Source organism: Homo sapiens, chromosome 1, assembly GCF_000001405.40.
Source record: "Homo sapiens chromosome 1, GRCh38.p14 Primary Assembly".
Classification (NCBI taxonomy): domain Eukaryota; kingdom Metazoa; phylum Chordata; class Mammalia; order Primates; family Hominidae; genus Homo; species Homo sapiens.
This window is the reverse complement of record NC_000001.11, coordinates 100,935,533-100,954,060: the sequence shown is the minus strand read 5'-3', so window position 1 is coordinate 100,954,060 and position 18,528 is coordinate 100,935,533. Positions and strand designations below refer to the sequence as shown.

Below are 18,528 nucleotides of genomic sequence, written 5' to 3'. Positions count from 1 at the left end.
ATCTAAACCAGCCCTTGTTTGACGTGACTTTCAACCCTTCACAATAACAGCTAAATAGCATAACAGTGAAGAGCCTCCCAATTCAGTCATATCTAAAAAAGAACCTCTAATAAACAGAAAGCAAAGTATCTTATCCTCCATTCAAACATACATTGGAAAGAATTATACTTAGGAACAATCAGCATTCTCAATTCTCAATGTGCAATTTATCTTAATAGAATCTCTTCTCTTCATTTTTATGAATAAGAAACTAAAATCACACCAGCAATATAAGTAAAAATTAAATCTTAAAATGGGAAGAGACTAAAGTCAATACAGTATTGGGCAAAAAGCTCCAGAAAATATACACGGCTTTGAGAGAAGATCAGACAGGAATAAATTCATATTATTCATATTAAATATGGTAACATTTGTATTGAAATGCTAATGAGACCTGGAGGAACTGCCCCACTCCATCTGAAAGCAGCGGTTAGGTAAGGATGGACACAGGCAGGAGAACAAGCTCTTTAGGCAAATCTGCATTTTAAAAAGCACAGAAGTCAAGAAACAGGACCTTGTTTAGAAAAACCAGATGAGACAACAAGAAGTACTTGTTAAGACTATCAAAATTGAATGAATTACCATTCAGGTAGCTTCAGAAATGACAAGTATTAGCCCAGAACAAAAAGGTCAGCAAGAAAAATCCAAAAGGAATAGGACCAAAATGCTAATTAATCTCTGGTTTCAACTAGCTATCAGGAATCTGAGTTAAACTATGTCTACCTAGTTGTATTTGTCTGCCTTCATACTGCTATAAAAAACTACCTGGGACTACGTAATTTATGAAAAGAAGAGGTTTAATTGACTCACAGTTCCACAGGCTTAACAGGAAGCATGAGTAGGAGGCCTCAGGAAATTTACAGTCATGGCAGAAGGTGAAGAAGACAGGACCTTCTTCACATGGTGACAGGAGAGAAAGAGACAGTGAAGGAGGAAGTGCCACACACTTTTAAATCATCAGATCTCATGAGAACTCACTATCACAAGAACAGCAAGGGGGAAATCTACACCCATGATCCAATCACCTTCCACCAGGTCCTTCCTCCAATGCTACATGAGGTTTGAGTAGGGACACAAATCCAAACCATATCACTAGTACAAGTTAAAAATGGTATACTTATATTTGATCCAATCTACATAGTGTTCAAACCCTATCATTTCCTCACAATATGGTAATAGAGCTTTGACTCTTAATGGCCGAGTATGTTGCTGTGAAAAAATTCAGCATCTAGGAGGGACACTGCAGAAAAGGAGAAAAGGGCATCTTTGAAAGTACAGTTAATCTTTTGTCCTCTTAAATGATGCAGGTAGAACCTATCCAGGATTTGGTTTAGGAACTGGCCCATCAGGTAGCCAAGAACTAGTCATTCCAAAGTAACTAGGGAAGATATAGATGAACTATATCTCTTTGTTTTTTTTCTTGCCTTTTTTCTCTCTGTCTTTCCCCATTTGGTGATGAATGAGTAAGAGTCAATTACATGAAACAACATGTCACGGTAGTAAGAGAAGACTACCTTTAAGTGGATGGTGTCTGCTTCCCAATAGCCTTCCTTTAAGAAAGGCAGGCAAGAATTAGCACTTTTACTGAAAGTGTGGCAGGCGCTGTTCAAGACTTTATATACACATCTTAACCCATTTAAGTCACACACAACAAATTATGAGGTAGGTATTATCATTGTCCCCATTTTAAAGATGAAAAATTGAGTCACAGAGAAGCTAAGTGACTTGTCCAAGCTCACACAGCTAAAAAGTTAAAACAGCATTTGAACCCAGGCACTCTGGCTATATAGTGAATTTGTGCGTGTGTGTATGTATGTGTGTGACTTAAAATAGCACAAATTAATTATCTTGCAGTTCTGGAGGTCAGAAGTCCAAAATACGTTCCATTGGGCTAAAATCAAGGTGTCACATGCTCTAGAAAGAATCTGTTTCCTTGACTTTCGTGACATCTAGAGGTCACCTGCATTCCTTGGCCCCGGCCTCTTCCTCCATCTTCAAAGCCAGCAGCATAGCCTCTTCAGATTTGTCTTTGACTCTGACTCTTCTGCCTTCCACTTCCATCTTTTAAGATCCCTTTTTTATTATATTGGGCCCACTTGGATAATACAGAATAATCTCCCATCTCAAAATCTTTAACTTAATTACATCTGAAAAGTCTCTTTTGTGAAGTAAGGTAATATATTCACAGGTTTCAGGGATTAGGACTTGGCCATCTTTGGGGCCATTCTTCTGCCCAGCCATTCTTCTTACCCTAGCCAGGTGGGTAAGGAGGGAGAAATCAGGAGGTTGTTGGCAGGACCTCACTGGCCAGAGGAGGGTCTGAGTTAGGTCCTCCAGGTGGGAAGACTTTTCACAACATGGAGAGGATTGCAGGCAGGCTGAGCAGCACGAACAAAGGCACAGCAGTTACCACGAGCCTGGCATGAGCACACTGGGCAGTAGGGAGACAGTGCTAACTGAAGAAAAGAGGTGCACCTTGGAGCATTATGGGAAGTAATGCTGTGGAAAAGTTGGGTTCCATTCTTCTTCAACTACGAGACTTGGAGGGTAGTGCCTCCTTTTTCACAAGCAACATGTTAGTATAATTTGTGGATCTTCTTTGCTGAAAATTAGGAATGGATTAACTAAGATTCTATAACAAAGCTTTTTTTTCTGATTAGCATTTTTCTGTCTTTTCTGATTCCTTTAACCTGATTCCCTTTTTCGCTGTTATTTGTTGTTATTGCTTTGCTTTTTCTAAATGAGTTCTAGCTTTGTAGTAGACAAAGGGGTACTTTGTGTCAGTACCCTGACATACCCCTCCCCTGCTTCGCACCCCTTTTCCTTCTAACTGCCAGCATTTCACCTAACATCTTTCTCTAACCCCAAAGCTTGCTTTGCATATCTGCCAAGTGGAAAAAATCTGATTCACACTCCCTCACTTTTCAGCAGCTGTCTTCCAACGACTGAGGAGTTGGTCTATAAATCCCATTTCCCTTCTTCCCCTCCAGTGGGATAACTCTGAAACATGACTCCTACGCTGGCTCCCCGAGTTACTCAGCAACTTAAGCTCCTGTTGCCTATAGTGGTAACTTAATTGACACTGAACCCGATGCTGGCTCCTTCCCTTCCCTGTCTCACTTCTCCACTCCTCTACAGGTGTTTGTTAGGATCACCTCCCAGATAAACTACTTGCACTTGAATCCATGTCACAGGGGGACATGAATCATGTCTCTAGGGCAACCCAAACTAAAATAGGATTTCATCAACATAGTGAGTGCTTTTAACTAGTCGGGGTTAAAGTTATAAAAGTGACTTTGTGGGCTCTTTCAGAGAACTTTGCCTACAGTAAAGTCCTGATTTTAGGAGAAGCTGATTTTTAAAGTGTATAAAAGGACCAGCCCACAGAAAAAAATGCAAAAGCTCAGGAAAACATCAACAGTAAAAATAACCCCAGTGGACCTTGGCAAGAGGCAGTGATAGAAAACAATGTGAAAGTTTTCTGCCATCATAGAGCTGACTGGTACAGTCAAATGACATGACCAAAAACAAATCTCTGACACCCAATTTCCATTCTGGGCCCAAACTCCATGCTGACTTCCAAAGTTACATGTTTAAGTAAACCTAAATTGTGAAATAAAAACAAAGAAAAAGAACTCTTATTTAACTGATTACCTAAAATACAAAATTTTAAATAACACTGTGAGAATATATTTTTTATTGAATATCTCAAAGTAAGTTAATTGCTACTTACACTGGATGCTAACCATATTAAAATATTTAGTTGCTGAGGTATGACTGGAATTCATGTTTCCAAAGGATTAATTAAGCAAAACAACAGATTAATTTAAGGGCAGGCTATACCCAGTGGTGGAGAGTTTGAAATTAACATACAGATTAAGAGTGACCATTAAAACTAAAGAACCACTGCAGCTCCCAGCGTGATCGACGCAGAAGACGGGTGATTCCTGCATTTCCAACTGAAGTACCTGGTTCATCTCACAGGGCCTGGTTGGACAGTGGGTGCACCCTGCAGAGAGCGAGCTGAAGCAGGGTGGGGCATCACCTCACCCAGGAAGTGCAAGGGGTTGGGGGATTTCCCTTTCCTAGCCAAGGGAAGCCATGACAGACTGTACCTGGGAAAAGGGGACACTCCCACCTACATACTGCACTTTTCCCATGGTCTGAGCAACCGGCAGACCAGGAGATTCTCTCTCATGCCTGGCTTAGTGGGTCCCATACCCACAGAGCCTTGCTCACTGCTAGTGCAGCAGTCTGAGATCGACCTGCAATGCTGCAGCCTGGCTGGGGGAGGGGCATCTGTATTGCTGAGGCTTGAGTAGGTAAACAAAACAGCCAGGAAGCTCAAACTGGGAGGGGCCCACCGCAGCTCAGTAAGGCCTACTGTCTCTACAGACTCCACCTCTGTGGGCAAGGCATAGCTGAACAAAAGGCAGCAGAAACTTCTGCAGACTTAAACGTCCCTGTCTGATAGCTCTGAAGAGAGCAGTGGTTCTCCTAGCATGGTGTTTTGAGCACTGAGAACGGACAGACTGCCTCCTCAAGTGGGTTCCTGACCCCCATGAAGCCTAACTGGGAGACACCTCCCAGTAGGGGCTGACAGACACCTCACACAGGCGGGTGCCCCTCTGGGATGAAGCTTCCAGAGGAAGGATCAGGCAGCAATATTTGCTGTTCTGCAGCCTCCGCTGGTGATACCCAGAAAAACAGGGTCTGGAGTGGACCTACAGCAAACTCCAACAGACCTGAAGCTGAGGGACCTGACTGTTACAAGGAAAGCTAACAAACAGAAAGGCATAGCATCAACCTCAACAAAAAAAGACATCTACACCAAAACCCCATCATAGACCAAAGGTAGATAAAACCACAAGATGGGGAGAAACCAGAGCAGAAAAGCTGAAAATTCTAAAAACCAGAGCGCCTCTTCTCCTCCAAAGGATCGCAGCTCCTCACCAGCAACAGAACAAAGCTGGACTTAGACGAGTTGACAGAAGTAGGCTTCAGAAGATCAGTAATAACAAACTTCTCCAAGCTAAAGGAGCATGTTCTAACCCATCACGAGGAAGTTAAAAACCTTGAAAAAAGGTTAGATGAATGACTAACTAAACAGTGTAGAGAAGACCTTAAATGACCTAAGGGAGCTTAAAACCATGGCATGAGAACTTCATGACGCATGCACAAGCTTCAATAGCCAATTTGATCAAGTGGAAGAAGGGTATCAGTGATTAAAGATCAAATTAATGAAATAAAGCAAGAAGACAAGTTTAGAGAAAAAAGTAAAAAGTAACAAAGCCTCCAAGAAATACAGGACTACGTGAAAAGACTAAATCTACGTTTGACTAGTATACCTGAAAGTGACAGGAAGAATGGAACAAAGTTGGAAAACACTCTTCAGGATATTATCCAGGAGAACGTCCCCAACCTAGCAAGGCAGGCCAACATACAAATTCAGGAAATATAAAGAACACCACAAAGATAGTCCTCGACAAGACCAACCCCAAGACACACAATTGTCAGATTCGCCAAGGTTGAAATGCAGGAAAAAAATGTTAAGGGCAGCCAGAGAGAAAGGTCGGGTTACCCACAAAGAGAAGCCCATCAGACAAACAGTGGATCTCTCAGCAGAAACCCTAAAAGCCAGAAGAGAGTGGGGGCCAATATTTAAATTTCTTAAAGAAAAGAATTTTCAACCCAGAATTTCATATCCAGCCAAACTAAGCTTCATAAGCGAAGGAGAAATAAAATCTTTTACAGACAAGCAAATGTGGAGAGATTCTGTGGGCCTGCCTTACAAGAGTTCCTGAAGGAAACACTAAACATGGAAAGGAACAACCAGCACCAGCCACTGCAAAAACATGCCAAATTGTAAAGACCATCGATGCTATGAAGAAACTGCATCAATTAATGGGCAAAATAACCAGCTAACATCATAATGACAGGATCAAATTCACACATAACAATATTAACCTTAAATGTAAATGGGTTAAATGCCCCAATTAAAAGACACAGACTGGCAAACTGGATAAAGAGTCAAGACCCATCAGTGTGCTGTATTCAGGAGACCCATCTCACATGCAGAGACACATATCGGCTCAAAGTAAAGGGATGGAGGAAGATCTACCAAGCAAACGGCAAGCAAAAAAAGAGCAGGGATTGCAATCCTAGTCTCTGATAAAACAGACTTTAAAACAACAAAGATCAAAAGAGACAAAAGAAGGCCATTACATAATGGTAAAGGGATCAATTCAACAAGAAGAGCTAACTATCCTAAATATATATGGACCCAACAGAGGAGCACCCAGATTCATAAAGCAAGTCCTTAGAGACCTACAAAGAGACTTAGACTCCAACACAATAATAATGGGAGACTTTAACACCCCACTCTCAATATCAGAACAAGACAGAGGGTTAACAAGGATGTCCAGGACTTGAACTCAACTCTGCACTAAGCGAAATTAACAGACATCTACAGAACTCTCCACCCCAAATCAACAGAATATACATTCTTCTCAGCACCACATCACACTTATTCTAAAATTGACCACATAATTGGAAGTAAAGCACTCCTCAGCAAATGTAAAAGAACAGAAATCACAACAAACTCTCAGATCACAGTGCAATCAAATTAGAACTCAGGATTAAGAAACTCACTCAAAACCACACAAGTACATGGAAACTGAACAACCTGTTCCTGAATGACTACTGGGTAAATAATGAAATGAAGGCAGAAATAAAGATGTTCTTAGAAACCAATGAAAACAACGACACAATGTACCAGAATCTCTGGGACACATTTAAAGCAGTGTGCAGTGGGAAAATTATAGCACTAAAGGCTCACAAGAGAAATCTGGAAAGATCTAAAATCAATACCCTAATATCACAATTAAAATAACTAGAAAACCAAGAGCAAACAAATACAAAAGCTAGCAGAAGGCAAGAAATTCCTCTATGCAAATAAACTAGAAAATCTAGAAGAAATGGATAAATTCCTTGACACATACACCCTCCCAAGACTAAACGAGGAAGAAGTTGAATCTCTGAATAGACCAGTAACAAGCTCTGAAATTGAGGCAATAATTAACAGCCTACCAACCAAAAAAAGTCCAGGACCAGACAGATTCACAGCTGAATTCTACCAGAGGTACAAAGAAGAGCTGGTACCATTCCTTCTGAAACTATTCCAATCAATAGAAAAAGAGGGCATCCTCCCTAACTCATTTTATGAGGCCAGCATCATGCAGATACCAAAGCCCGGCAGAGACACTACAAAAAAAAGAAAATTTTGGAACAATATCTTTAATGAACATCGATGCAAAAATCCTCAATAAAATACTGGCAAACCAAATCCAGCAGCACATCAAAAAGCTTATCCACCATGATCAAGTGGGCTTCATCTCTGGGATGCAAGGCTGGTTCAACATATGCAAATCAATAAACGTAATCCATCACATAAACTGAACCAACTACAAAAACCACATGATTATCTCAAAAGATGCAGAAAAGGCCTTTGACAAAATTCAACAGGACTTAATGCTTAAAAACTCTCAAACTAGGGATTGATGGAATCTATCTCAAAATAATAAAAGCTATTTATCACAAACCCACAGCCAATATCATACTAAATGGGCAAAAACTGGAAGCATTTCCTTTGAAAACCGGCACAAGACAAGGATACCCCCTCTCACCACTCCTGTTCAACATAGTGTTGGAAGTTCTGGCCAGGGCAATCAGGCAAGAGAAAGAAAGAAACGGTATTCAATTAGGAAAAGAGGAAGTCAAATTGTCCCTGTTTGCAGATGACATGAATGTATATTTAGAAAACTCCCATCATCTCAGCCCAAAATCTCCTTAAGCTGATAAGCAACTTCAGCAAAGTCTCAGGATACAAAATCAATGTGCAAAAATCACAAGCATTCCTATACACCGATAACAGACAAAGAGAGAGCCAAATCATGAGTGAACTTCCATTCACAATTGCTTCAAAGAGAATAAAATACCTAGGAATCCAACTTACAGGGGATGTGAAGGACCTCTTCAAGGAGAACTACAAACCACTGCTCAATGAAATAAGAGGACACAAATGAATAGAAGAACATTTCATGCTTGTGGATAGGAAGAATCAATATCATGAAAATGGCCATACTGCCCAAGGTAATTTATAGATTCAATACCATTCCCATCAAGCTACCAAGGACTGTCTTCACAGAATTGGAAAAAACTACTTGAAAGTCCATATGGAACCAAAAAAGAGCCCGCATTGCCAAGACAATCCTAAGCAAAAAGAACAAAGCTGGAGGCATCACGTTACCTGACTTCAAACTATACTATGAGGCTACAGTAACCAAAATAGCATGCTACTGGTACCAAAACAGAGATATAGACCAATGGAACAGAACAGAGGCCCCAGAAATAATACCACACATCTACAACCATCTGATCTTTGACAAACCTGAAAAAAACAAGAAATGGGGAAAGGATTCCCTATTTAATAAATGGTGCTGGGAAAACTGGCTAGCCATATGTAGAAAGCTGAAACTGGATCCTTTCCTTACACCTTATACAAAAATTAATTCAAGATGGATTAAAGACTTAAATGTTAGACCTAAAACCATAAAACCCCTAGAAGAAAACCTAGGCAATACCATTCAGGACATAAGCATGGGCAAGGACTTCATGACTAAAACACCAAAAGCAATGGCAACAAAAGCCAAAAGAGACAAATGAGATCTAATTAAACTAAAGAGCTTCTGCACAGCAAAAGAAACTACCGTCAGAGTGAACAGGCAACCTACAGAATGGGAGAAAATTTTTGCAATCTACCCATCTGACAAAGGGCTAATATCCAGAATCTACAAAGAACTTAAAACAAATTTACAAGAAAAAAACAACCCCATCAAAAAGTGGGAGAAGGATATGAACAGACATTTCTCAAAAGAAGACATTTATGCAGCCAACGGACACATGAAAAAATGCTCATCATCACTGGCCATCAGAGAAATGCAAATCACAACCACAATGAGATACCATCTCATGCCAGTTAGAATGGCGATCATTAAAAAGTCAGGAAACAACAGATGTTGGAGAGGTTGTGGAGAAATAGGAACGCTTTTACACTGTTGGTGGGAGTGTAAATTAGTTCAACCATTGTGGAAGACTGTGGCGATTCCTCAAGGATCTAGAACTAGAAATACCACTTGACCCAGTGATCCCACAAAGGATTATAAATCATGCTACTATAAAGACACATGCACACGTATGTTTATTGTGGCACTATTCACAATAGCAGACTTGGAACCAACCCAAATGTCCATCAATGATAGACTGTATTAAGAAATTGTGGCACATATACACCGGGGAGTAGGGGGTGGGGGGAGGGATAGCATTAGGAGAAATACCTAATGTAAATGAGGAGTTGATGGGTGCAGCAAACCAACATGGCACATGCATACCTATTTAACAAACCTGCAAATTGTGCACATGTACCCTAGAACTTAAAGTATAACAAAATAAAAAATAAATAAATAAAAAAACTAAAGAACCAAAAGGAGCCAATTTTTTTTTCTTTTTGCAGCTAGTAAGTTAAAAAATCTCAATATGCTTTTCACGTTTTTGACTTACTTTTCTTTGAAGGGCTAAATATGTGGATGATTCCAAAGTCAAAAATATTTTAAAAACATATTCTGTCTGGGTATGGTGTCTCACACCTATAATCCCAGCACTTTGGGAGACTGAGGAGGGTGGATTTCTTGAGTCCAGGAGTTTGAGACCAGCCTGGACAACATGGCAAAACCCCATCTCTACAAAAATTAGCCAGGCGTGGTGGTGTGCACCTGTAGTCCTAGCTACTTGGGAGGCTGAAGTAGGAGGATGGCTTGAGGCCAGGAGGCAGATGCTGCAGAGACTGTGCCACTGCCCTCACTCTAGCCTGGGTGACAGAGCCAGACCCTGTCTCGAAAAAATATATAAATAAAATAAAATGAAAATTCAAAGTCTCACTTCTAATCCCTTTCCTCTGCCGAAAAGGTAACTATATTTGCTTTTGATTTATTCTTCCAGTGTTTCTTTTCAAAATTATATGAAAACATTTAGATTATATGCATGTCTCTTCTTCTTATATAAAAGGTAGCAGTGCTTTTATATAGTTTATGCTATAAACCTATATATCATGTGCTACATATTAAGTGCTATCTTGTTTTCTTAATAATATTCTTGAAAATCATACCACATTACCACATAAAGATCATCTTTATTCTCCTTTTTAAGGTTGCACAGAACTGCTTTACTGATGATGTAATATTACAAAATACATATTTGGTCTTTGACCCATTTCCTGATATACAGCTCTTAAAATCCTTGGACTCTCTAAAGTGATGTCTTTCTAATGAGTTGACTGATGGCTGGCAGCCTGTAGGTAGCTTCAGGATGTGGGCTGGTCATGCAGAAAGATCAAGGCATGATTAGAAAGATCCAGATAGGGAGAGCGGCTGAAGGTTAAGTTGATCACCAATGGCCAATTAATCAATCATGCCTATGTAATGAAGCCTCCATAAAAACCCAAAAGGACAGGGTTTGGGAAGCTTCCAGATAGCTGAAGACATGAAGTTTCCTGGAGTGTGGCTCACCTAGAAATGACATGGAAGCTCTATCCTTCCCCCATACCTCACCCCATGCATCTCTTCCTCTGTATCCTTTGTTATGTCCTTTATAATACGCTAGTAAACATGCTTCCCTGAGTTCTGTGAGCTGCTTTAGTAAATTAATCGAATCCAAGGAGGGGGTTGTGGGATCCCCAGTTTATAGCCGGTCAGTCAGAAGCACAGGCAAACTAACCTGGGGTTTGCAAATGGCATCAGAAGTGGGATCCCTCAACCTGTGAGATCTCACACTGTCTCCAGGCAGTGTCAGAATTGAACTGAATTAGAGGATACTCAGCTACTGTCTGCTGGAGAACTGATTGTGTGAAAATAAGTAATTCAAAATCTAAGCTGTTGGAACTTCAAAACATTTTGAGCCTTAAAGGAATGTGATTATAGGACCTCAGTCACGTAACAGGGAACTGTAACCACTGTTTCTCTGATTAGATTTGCCTTCTCTCTTACCCACATAGTTTTATAAAATGTTGTAAATGATTAAAGGGCACCTAGGCAGCCCCATTCTCTCTTCACTGTAGATTAACTGCCCTTTTACTTTTTTCATACACAGACTATCATGTCTAAGATGAAATGTTAAAAACACTCTTTTAAATTGAAAAGGAAATGAAAGCAAGCTGTAACTCATTAGATTGTTATAACTCATAAACCAGCCTTGCATAGAAAATGCTATAACCCTAATACATTTGTTTTCTGCCTGTATAAGCAAGAACTTAACTTTTAATTTGGGAGCACAGACTCCATTTCTCTGGAGTTTGTGTTTCCCAGATGGCCATTCTCAGCTTTTCACTTGAATAAAGCTAGACTCTGATTCTTTCGATTATTTCAGGTTAACACTTGCTTGGTGTCTGGGGAAAAAACCCCACACATTTCACAGAAGTCTACTGTGTTGATTGTTGCTGGGTGAGAGAACAGAAAAAGCACTTTGAGTGTTTTTTCCATAGAGATGGCCATTTGTGTTCTTTCCAATCTTTTGCTATTACAAATAAAGGCACAAAGAATGACTTTACAGATATGTTCTTTTATATTTTTTGCAAATTTGCCTTTGGGATATATTCCCAAAAGTGTGATTGCTTAATTAAAGGTATATGCATATTTAATTTTGCTAGACATTGCCCAATTCCTCTGAGTTAATACTATTCTCATTCCTATCAGCAAAGTATGAGAGTACCTATTTTACCCATAGCCTTGCCAAAAGATTATGCAAACCTTTGGACATTTATCTACTGATGGGTAAGAAGTGGTGTCTCAATGCAGTTTTAATTTCTATTTCTTCCTTATACGTTGAGCTAAACTACTCTTCTAAAAGTTGTTTGTGCTTCCTGCCAGAGGATGCCGTCAAGGAGGCATTGTTAAAATCTCTCTTCCCACTGCCGTCACGTCGCAGTCAGTTTTCTAAAGAGCCCGAATGGCTGTGGAAGCTCTTCATTTTCATTGGAGGGTTGGCTTTGAAACAAAGCTGAGGAAGATCTGAGGAGCCATTCCGAGCAATGGGGAACACTCACAGAGTGTGTGGTAATGGGAGATCCAAACACCAGGCACTCCAGGGGCCTTGGGTTTGTCACGTATGCCACTCCAGGGGCTTTGGGTTTGTCACGTATGCCACTGTGGAGGAGGTAGATGCAGTCATGAATGCAAAGCTACACAAGGTGGATGGAAGAGTTGTGGAACCAAAGAGAGCTGTCTCAAGAGAAGACTCTCAGAGACCAGTGCCCACTTAACTGTGAAAAAGATATTTGTTGCTGGCATTAAAGAGTATACTGAAGAACATCACCTAAGAGATTATTTTAAACAGTATGGAAAAACTGAAGTGATTGAAATCATGACTGACCAAGGCAATGGCAAGAAAAAAGGCTTTGCCTTTGTAAGCATGACTGTGGATAAGACTGTCATTCTGAAATACCATACTGTGAATGGCCACAATTGTGAAATTAGGGAAGCTGTGTCAAATCAAGAGATGCCTAGTGCTTCATCTAGCCGAAAAGGGTGAAGTGCTTCTGGAAACTTTGGTGGTGGTTGTGGAGGTGGTTTTGGTGGGAATGGCAATTTTGGTTGTGGTGGAAACTTTAGTGGTCATGGTGGCTTTGGTGGTAGCTCTGGTGGTGGTGGATATGGTGGCAGTGGGATGGTTAAAATGGATTTTGTAATAATGGAAGCAAATTTGGAGGTGCTGAAAGCTACAATGATCTTGGCAATTACAACAGTCTTCAAATTCTGAACCCATGAAGGAAGGAAACTTTGGTGGCAGAAGATCTGGCCCCTATGGTGGTGGAGGCAAATTCTTTTCTAAACTATGAAACCAAGGTGGCTGTGGCAGTTCCAATAGCTGCAGAAGCTATGGCAGTAGCAGATTTTAATTACTGCTAGGAAATAAAGTTTAGCAGGAGAGAAGAGCCAGAGAAGTGACAGGGAAACTACAGGTTACAACGGATTTGTGAATTCAGCCAAGCACAGTGGTGGCAGGGCCTAGCTGCTACAAAGAAGACATGTTTTAGACAGTATTTGTGTATATGGGCAAAAAACATGAAAACTATATTTGTGATTAATTATGTAACAATTAATAACAGGTTATCTTAGTTTATGTTCTGTGGAAAGTGTAAAACAGTCCACTGAAGGGTTTTAATATAAGATTTTATTTTTTGCATCCATGCTGTTGATTGCTAAATGTTATAGTCCGATCATGACACTGAATGTGTCTTTAAAAATAAATTAATTAATCACATTAAATTTGTATTTCTTTTCCTGTAACTTAAATAAACTTATACTTTTACCCAGTTTTCTATCAGGAAGTTAGTCTCTTAATTAAATTACATTTTTATTTTTAGAAGCTCTCTTTATATTAGAAATGTTAGTCCTTCATGATCTAAGTGGCCAATACTTACTCTAATTTATTGTGTCTTGTGACTTTCCTTATGATGCTTTCTTCTTATGCCAAAATTCTTCTTTTTAAAAATGTAGCTTAATTCATTAATCTTTTCTCTTACTGATTTTCTAGTTTTGAGCCACAGCTACCCCTTAATATTCTCATGCTACCGTAAATATTTCAGCCATGCCTTCTTTTAATACTAGCATGGTTTCATGTTTTACTTTTAAAACACTAACCCATTTGAAATGTTTCCGGGTATATAGTATAACATAGAGCTCTAAATTTATCTTTTTCCAAATGGCTATCCAGTTTTTAGGGAAGCCATCTTTTTTCCACTGATTTGAGGTGCTGTCTTTATCATTAGTAAGCCACTATATATATATAAACCCATCTCTGGACCTCCTAATCTGCTCCATTAGTCTTCTTGCTCTTTCAGGTATCTCATTATGTTCATTACAAAGGCTTTATATTTTACATCTTCTTTTCCAGGATTTACTTGGCTATTCCTCCTGTTTGTTTTTTCCTTATAAACTTTAAAATCAATTTTTACTACTTCCTCCTCAGAATAAAAGGACCTACTGGTATTTTTATTTGAATATTTTAAAACTTTTATAAATAAACACAAAAAGCATTGACATGTTGCTGTTTTTTTTTTTTTTAGACGGAGTCTCACTCTGTTGCCCAGGCTGGAGTGCAGTGGCACGATCTCAGCTCACTGCAAGCTCCACCTCCTGGGTTCATGCCATTCTCCTGCCTCAGCCTCTCAAGTAGCTGGGACTACAGGTGCCCACCACCATGCCCAGCTAATTTTTTGTATTTTTTTTTTTTTTTTTAAGTAGAGACAGGGTTTCACTGTGTTAGCCAGGTTGGTCTCGATCTCCTGACCTCGTGATCTGCCCACCCTGGCCTCCCAAAGTGCTGGGATTACAGGCGAGAGCCACCGCGCCCGGCCAGCTGATTCTTCAAAAATGTCATAGTTGACAAAAAAGGCTCTGTTCGAGTCGACTTCTGTGTTTTTTAAAGGGTTTAAATTCCTTGTGTAAATTTTACTCATTTAACCTCTACGTTATCTTTGTTGTTGCTACTGAAGAGGTGTCTTCTCTTTAATTACATCATTCAGTTGGAATTTGTTTATATATATAAAGAACATTGATTTTTGCATATCAATCTTATATCTGTAACTTTGCTAAATTGTCTGTCATAGTTTTCCCATCAACTTTCACGGGCTTTACAGACATATAATTATACACTTGGCATTAAAAAAACCATTGCTCCAATTTCTAAGTCTCAAATACTTTCTCTTGTTTAATGTTACTGGCTAATGATCACTAATACTATGTTAAATAGCAGAGGCAACAGAGAGAATCCTTGTCTAGTTCCCTATTTTGGTAGTAATGCCTCTAGTGTTACACCTTAAGAAAGGGATTTAGACTTTAGGGCTGTGATGCATGTAATTTATCATGTTAAGGAATTATCTATTGATTTACACATGGCCATAAACATGGGAACAACAGACTCTGCAGACTACTAGAGAGAGGAGGGAGTGGGGGATGGGCTGAAAAACTACCTATTGGGTACTATACTCTCTCTACCTGGGTGCAATATACCCATGTAACAATCCTGCACATGTACCCCTTCTATCTAAAATAAAAGCTGAAATTGAGAGACAGAGACATTATTCCAGGTAAGCCTGATTTAATCAGATGCAAAGCCCTTAACAGATAGACTGGAGCTCTCCCTGAGATCAGATGCTCTCTTGCTGACCTTGGAAAGGTAAGCTGCTATGTGTTACACAGCTATAATGAAACAAATTCTGCCAACAGCCATATAAGCTTGCAAGATGGTCCTGAGCCTCAGATGAAACTATGGCCCCAACCAACACTTCAGTTGCAGTCCTGTGAGACCCTGAACAGAGGAGACAACTAAGCTGTGCCCAGACTCTTGATCACAGAAACTGTGAGATAATAAATGAGCATTGTTTTAAGCTGGAAAAATTGTGGCAATGTGTTATGCAGCAACAGAAAACTAATACACATGGCAATTCTTCAGTCTAGTAAAAAGAAACAAGTAAGTTTAACGAAGTGTGATAGATGTTAGAAATGCTTAGGGGACAAAATAAAAAAACAGTTAATTCTATATAGTAGTTTACAACAGGCTTCACAAAGGAGATGCCCCTTGAGATGAATTTTATAAGAGGTATTCAAAAGGTAGACATTAGCTACCTATCAAAATCCCAGTGACATTTTTTTCTAGAAATAGAAAAATCTATCTTAAAATTCCTATGGGATCTCAAGAAACCCATAATAGTCAAAACAATCTTGAAAAAGAACAAGGTTGCAGGTCTCACACTTCCTAATTTCAAGTTACTACAAAGCAATAAAAACAGTGTGGCACTGACATAAAAACAGACATATAGACCACTGGGATAGAACAGACAGCCCAGAAATAAACTCTGACATACATGGTTAAATGGTTTTCAACATAGATGCCAAGGCAATTCAATGGGGAAAGGACAGACTTCTCAATAACTGGTGATGGGAAAACTGGATTTTTACATGCAAAAGAAGGAAGCTGGACCCTTACCTCACACCATATATAAAAATTAACTCAGAATAAAATGTAAGACCTAAAACTATAAAACTCTTAGAAGAAAACATAGGAGAAAGCTTCATGACATTGGTTTGGTTGATTTCTCAGATATGACACCAAAAGCTTAGGAAACAAAAGAAAAAACATGAAAATTAAGGCAAATCATGGAAAAAGAGAAAATATCTGCATATTATACATCTGATAAAGAGTTAATATCCAGAATATATAAAGAACACCCACAATTCAACAACAACAAACAATTTAAAAATGGACAAAGTATTTGAATAGACATTTTCCCAAAGATATACAAAATGGCCAATAAGTACAAGAAAAAATGTTCAACATCAGTAATCATTAGGGAAATGCAAATCAAAACAATAAGACCACTTGATACGCATTACGTTAATGGGTTTTCTGGTAGATAAAAACAGAAACAAAAAACAAAAATAAAAACAAAAACAAAACAAAACAGAAAATAACAAGTTTTGGAAAGCATGTGGAGAAATTACAACCCTTCTGCATTGTAGGTGAAAATGTAAACTGGTGTGGCAGCTATGGAAAAGAGCATGGCAGTTTCTCAAAAAATTAAAAACAGAATTACCATATGATCCAGCAATTCCACTTCCAAGTAAATACTCAGATGTTTAAATAAATAATTCAAAACCTCCCACAGATGTTTTGAATTATTGACACAAATTTGCAATTGAGCAGTTTCTTACATGGGTACATAGTATGTCTGCAGGTAGTAATAGCAGATTTTTATTTACTTTTAACATTGATTTATTTCTTAGGAATACTGAGAAGGTAAATAAATAATAAGAACATGTAAAATGCTAAGCAAAAATGAAGAGCTACACAGGCATTCCTACATGCATAGATATAGATATAGATACAGATAATCTATGTGTATGAGTATGAGTAAATATACTAAATCTATGTGTATAAGTAAATATTCAGAAGTGGAATCATTCAGTCTTAAAAAGAAAGGGTATTCTGACATATACTACAAAGTGAATGAAACTTGAGGACATTATTGTAAGTGAAATAAACTAGTCACAAAAGGCCAAATATTGTATGACTCTACTTTTATAAGGTACCACTTATATATTTCACAACTTCATAGAGACAGAAAAAATAGTGGTTGCTAGGGGCTGAGGTGCAGGGTGAATTGGGAGTTATTGCTTAATGGTTACAGAATTTCAGTTCTGCAACATGAAAAGAGTTCTGTGGATGGATGGCAGTGATGGCAGCACAACAATGTGACTGTACTTAATGCCACTGAACTGTATACTTAACAGTGATTAAGATGGTAAATTTTATATTATGCTTATCACAATTATTTTGAAAAGGTAGACATTAGTAGGCAAGATTTTCTAAGGAAAAGATACTTGATGAGCAGAGATACAGAGGTATAAGCTAACTTAACATGCTCTAAAAAGTGCAAACAATTTGGTACCACTGAGACTTAGGGCAGGAGTCTTCAAATTAAGAGTACATATAGGAGTGTGTACTACATTTCACAATTCTGGTGACATTAATCACAAAAAAATACCCTTGGGGATACCCATATACTTTCTGAAAGATGTTTAGAATAGTTATAAGAGAATAAAATATCAGATCCTCCACTTCCATAGGTACTCATTCCAAAACTGACCAGACACCAGACTGAGACAATTGGTCTAGTAAATTAGTAAGTTCTCTATTGCTCCCCTCCCATTTCACAATTACCACTTCAGCCGCTTGACAAAAGAAAAGCATGTAATTCACCCATAGAAAATACTACTATGGTAAACTGTGCCAGAGTTTGAAAATCACTGGAGTAGAAAAAAAAAAAAGAAAAATGAAAAGAAGACAATTTAAAATATTGGTATCTGGTAAGCCTTTAATAAAACCCTTTGTCTCTGCTCATAAACCTGAGGTATAGTTTTATGGCTTCTCTGTTTTATGTAATTCCTATTAAGGGCAAAGAGTGGTATTAGGAACAAGGTATTCTGGCCCATATATTAGGAACGTTCTGAGTTCAGACATATTGTAAAGTGGGATGACTAAAGTAATGATAGGTTTAGTAATAATCCCTCTTCTATTGTCCCCCAGATACTGACAAAGAATATGTCACTCCTGAGAGAAGTCCCAAGAAACCTTTGTCAAACAATAGTAAAAACCCGTATCTCTTTAATGTCATTTATTTACACAATATACAGACCTTAAAATAAAGCTATTAATTTTTTTTAGAGGAAAGCTGGGAGTATTGGTTAAAAAACAGTAAACAGCTTGAACAATTCCAAGCCATCATCAAAGTTGGCTTTAAAAACCTCATATAAAGTATTGTCACTCACTATGATAGTTAAGAAATCACATTTGATAGTGATTATTCCAGTGCATAGG

General features: G+C 38.7%; 1 protein-coding gene and 1 pseudogene across 4 annotated transcripts in view, besides 1 other annotated feature; one reads left to right on the top strand and one right to left on the bottom strand.

Moving 5' to 3' along the window:
• Positions 1-18,528, bottom strand: part of SLC30A7 (solute carrier family 30 member 7) — a 99,989-nt gene that overhangs the window by 42,018 nt on the left and 39,443 nt on the right. The gene's annotated exons all lie outside the window — the stretch shown is intronic.
• Positions 4,236-4,285: an enhancer, noted in NCBI's record as "active region_1390". NCBI's record gives its function as "activates an Ori minimal core promoter by ATAC-STARR-seq in GM12878 lymphoblastoid cells {active_cell/tissue: GM12878}" and the evidence as "EXISTENCE:reporter gene assay evidence [ECO:0000049][PMID:35858748]".
• Positions 12,007-13,236, top strand: HNRNPA1P68 (heterogeneous nuclear ribonucleoprotein A1 pseudogene 68; annotated as a pseudogene).